This window comes from Homo sapiens, chromosome 12 (genome assembly GCF_000001405.40).
Source record: "Homo sapiens chromosome 12, GRCh38.p14 Primary Assembly".
Classification (NCBI taxonomy): Eukaryota; Metazoa; Chordata; class Mammalia; order Primates; family Hominidae; genus Homo; species Homo sapiens.
In genome coordinates this window covers 65,260,096-65,263,954 of record NC_000012.12, presented here as the reverse complement: position 1 = coordinate 65,263,954, position 3,859 = coordinate 65,260,096, and the positions used below count along the sequence as shown (strand labels likewise).

General features: G+C 38.5%; 2 annotated features.

Moving 5' to 3' along the window:
- Window positions 1,033-1,532: an enhancer, noted in NCBI's record as "H3K4me1 hESC enhancer chr12:65656203-65656702 (GRCh37/hg19 assembly coordinates)". NCBI's record gives its function as "activates a minimal SCP1, AML or CMV promoter by ChIP-STARR-seq in primed H9 embryonic stem cells {active_cell/tissue: H9 hESC(primed)}" and the evidence as "EXISTENCE:reporter gene assay evidence [ECO:0000049][PMID:30033119]".
- Window positions 1,533-2,034: an enhancer, noted in NCBI's record as "H3K4me1 hESC enhancer chr12:65655701-65656202 (GRCh37/hg19 assembly coordinates)". NCBI's record gives its function as "activates a minimal SCP1, AML or CMV promoter by ChIP-STARR-seq in primed H9 embryonic stem cells {active_cell/tissue: H9 hESC(primed)}" and the evidence as "EXISTENCE:reporter gene assay evidence [ECO:0000049][PMID:30033119]".

Below are 3,859 nucleotides of genomic sequence, written 5' to 3'. Positions count from 1 at the left end.
TATGTAAAGGGCCTATTTTCCCTAAACTGAAGTCAAATTTATCCAGTTTCCTTCTCAATTGCTCATTAATTTGCCTTTATTTCTGTGGCTGAATATTTCATGTATTTATTGGCCATTTGCAGTTGTTCATTTGTGGATCATCTCCTGATGTCATTTGACTACTTTTCTGTTGAAATATTGGTCTATGTTAAAATATTTTTAAAGAATATTTTTGCAATCGGCTGGGCGCGGTAGCTCAAGCCTGTAATCCCAGCACTTTGGGAGGCCAAGGTGGGTAGATCATGAAGTCAGGAGATCGAGACCATCCTGGCTAACATGGTGAAACCCCGTCTCTACTAAAAACACAAAAAATTAGTCGGGGATGGTGGCGGGCGCCAGTAGTCCCAGCTACTTGGAAGGCTGAGGCAGAAGAACAGCGTGAACCCGGGAGGCGGAGCTTGCAGTGAGCCGAGATTGTGCCACTGCACTTCAGCCTGGGCCACGGAACGAGACTCCGTCTCAAAAAAATAATAAAATAAAATTTCAATCATTATTCAGCATTAGGTAAAAATATTGTTGACAAACCTGACAAAAACAAGCAATGGAGAAAGGATTCTCTATTTAATAAATGGTGCTGGGGAAACTGGCTAGCCATATGCGGAAAATTGAAACTGGATCTCTTCCTTATGCCTTATACAAAAATTAAGTAAAGATGGATTAAAGACTTAAATGTAAAACCCAAAACTATAAAAACCCTAGAAGAAAATCTAGGCAATGTCATTCAGGACACAGGCAAGAGCAAAGATTTCATGATGAAAATGTCAAAAGCAATTGCAACAAAAGCGAAAATTGACAAGTGGGATCTAATTAAACTAAGAGCTTCTGAACAGCAAAAGAAACTATTGTCAGCATGAACAGACAACCTGCAGAATGGGAGACAACTTTTAGTACAACCAAACATGTAACATTTTTCTTTATCATTTCTTGATCTCTGTGCTTAGACCTATATCAAATGTTTTCCTCTAATTTTTCTTTTGCTTATTTTATGACTATTTCTCAAGTCTTTATTCCTCCTGGAACTTATCTGGGTATATGTAGAGGAGTATTAACAAGTAAAATTTGCAGAAGTTTGATACTAATATACATATCATATTAATGATATAAAGTCTAATATGAAAATAGAATTGAAGTGATTTAGAGTCAGAAAAAAATCTAATCCGCTTCCTCATTCATTCTCTGCTGAAATCTGTGATACTCTTCCCTAAACCAAATGACTGTGTTTGCCTAGTGATATTATTCATGTTCTCCTTGTTCCCAGCTAATTGATTAGAACAGTGCTTCCCCACCTTGTTTCAAACTTTAATGGCACTCAAAGAAAAGCATAGTAATTGGCTGGGCGCGGTGGCTCAAGCCTGTAATCCCAGCACTTTGGGAGGCCGAGGCGGGTGGATCACGAGGTCAGGAGATCGAGACCATCCTGGCTAACACGGTGAAACCTCGTCTCTACTGAAAATACAAAAAATTAGCCGGGCGCGGTGGCGGGCGCCTGTAGTCCCAGCTACTCAGGAGGCTGAGGCAAGAGAATGGCGTGAACCCGGGAAGCGGAGTTTGCAGTGAGCCAAGATAGCGCCACTGCACTCCAGCCTGGGTGATAGAGCGAGACTCCGTCTCAAAAGAAAAAAAAAAAGAAAAGGATAATAATTGTACCGTGCATTGGTTCAATAAAGGAAGCTGCTTACAACCTGCTGGAGGCAACTAGGCCTTGAGCTCCACTATCCCAAGTTCTGCCACCACTCTAAAGCTAATATTTGGGCAAATCTAACGCATTCATGGCACATCAGTTGGGAAGCTGTGTTCCAGAATAGTTCTGCTACTTACATGTTCCTCTAATAGGATCCCTGTTTCACTGATATGTTACTAGGGTTCTGTTAATCAAATGCTGGTAGCGGTGTAGAAGAGCCCAATGGTGATTGTCAAACAAAATGAGAATCCTGAATAAAATAAGCATCAGGAAACCATCGTCCTTTTGTCCTTTTGTCCTGTAAGGACAGAAGCCTGGTAAGGAGAAGAGCCTGAATTTCAAGAACACAACTAAACGTTTGTTATATTATTGGGACATAGGAAATCTTTGTGAAGGATATCCTCTGTCAGTCAAGTTTGTATGAGGAAATTGAGTGACTGTCCATGTGGAAGTTTCAATTCATTAAGATCTTCTAAGTTATTACAAGCCAAAGAGCCTGTGCCTCTTCTAAGGAAACACAGTTGCCGAAGCCATAGGCCCTGGCACTAGTAACATTAGGGCTCTAACTTTCCTCTTAATTTTTTTTCACTTTTATTGAATGATTCACTTTTCTCACTAATTTTAAAAGCCACCTTTATCATATACTAAATTCTTACATACTAGAGTATCTTCATAATTCAAGTGTTTATCAACTATATAACCTCATGTGGAGGTTATATGGTTATTTGTGGAATTACAACATAAAATATTCTCTTACAAAAGTGCTCTTTAAAAAGTCAGTACCTCCTTGAATATCCTTCTCTGCTTGACAGTACCATCTATTTCTGCCCATTATGTTAATGTCTGTGTCAGTGTCTTGCAGATTGTCATTAAAAACACAATATAAGTTCAATGAAACTCCACTACAAAGCGAACTAGCAAACTTCTCAAAATTGGAGGATTTCACAAAGTCAATAAAAATGACAGAAAACTGCTCAAATCACAAGCATTACCAGAAATGTGTCAGGGTCTGTCCAGTTAGCAATTAAAAAAAAAGTTGGAAAGGATAAAAAACAATGACAAGGAAGCCAGGCGCAGTGGCTCAGGCCTGTAATCCCAGCAATTTGAGAAGCTGTGGTGGGTGGATCATTTAAGCCCAGGAGTCCGAGACAAGCCTGGGCAACATGGAGAGACCTCATCTCTAAAAAAATACAAAAACTTAGCCATGCTTGATGGCACACATTTGTGGTCCCAGCTACTTGGGAGGCTGAGGTGAGAGGATTGCTTTCGCCCGGGAGACAGAGGTTGCAGTGAGCCAAGATCACACCACTGCACTCCAGCCTGATTGACAGAGCAAGACCCTGTCTTAAAAACAAACAAACAAACAAACAACAACAAAAACGACCACAAGAAGAGCAGAAAGGAATTATATGATCAGAGACAGACCCTTTTAAAAATGAAGCCTGGGATATTTTGCAAAATGATTCTTTGATTATAGAGCAGAAATCAAACATAAAGTGAAAATTATCATTTCATGCTTTCAAATAATTTGTCAAAATGCCACCTGGCTTTTTTGCAATAATTGAAGCATATCCCACCAAAATTATTAGGAAATGGAAGGATCCAGAATAGTCAACATGATCTTGACAAAGAAAAACAAAGTTGAAGGACTCACACTTCTTGATTTAAAAACTTGCTAGAAAGCTACAGTAATCAAGACAGTGTGGTATTAGCATAAGGATGGACATATAAATCAATAAAATATAATTGAGATTCCAAAAATAAACCTTCACATTTACAATCAGTAGATTTTTGACAAGGGTGACAAGACAATTCAATTGGGTAAGGAACAGTCTTTTCAACAGATAGCTCAGTGCTGGGATATCTCATGGGATGTTGCAAATGGATACCCACATACAGAAAAATGAAGTTGGACTACTACCTCACACAACGTTAAAAAATTAACTCAAAGTGGATCAAAGTCCTAAATGTAAAAGGAAAAGCAATAGAACTTTTAGAAGAAAACATAGGTGTAAATCATTATAACCTTGTATTAGGCAATGGTTTCTTAAATACTCAAACCATAAGCAAAAACAAAAAATAAATTGGACTTTATCAAAATTTAAAACATCTGTCCTATAAAAGACATCATCAAGAGAG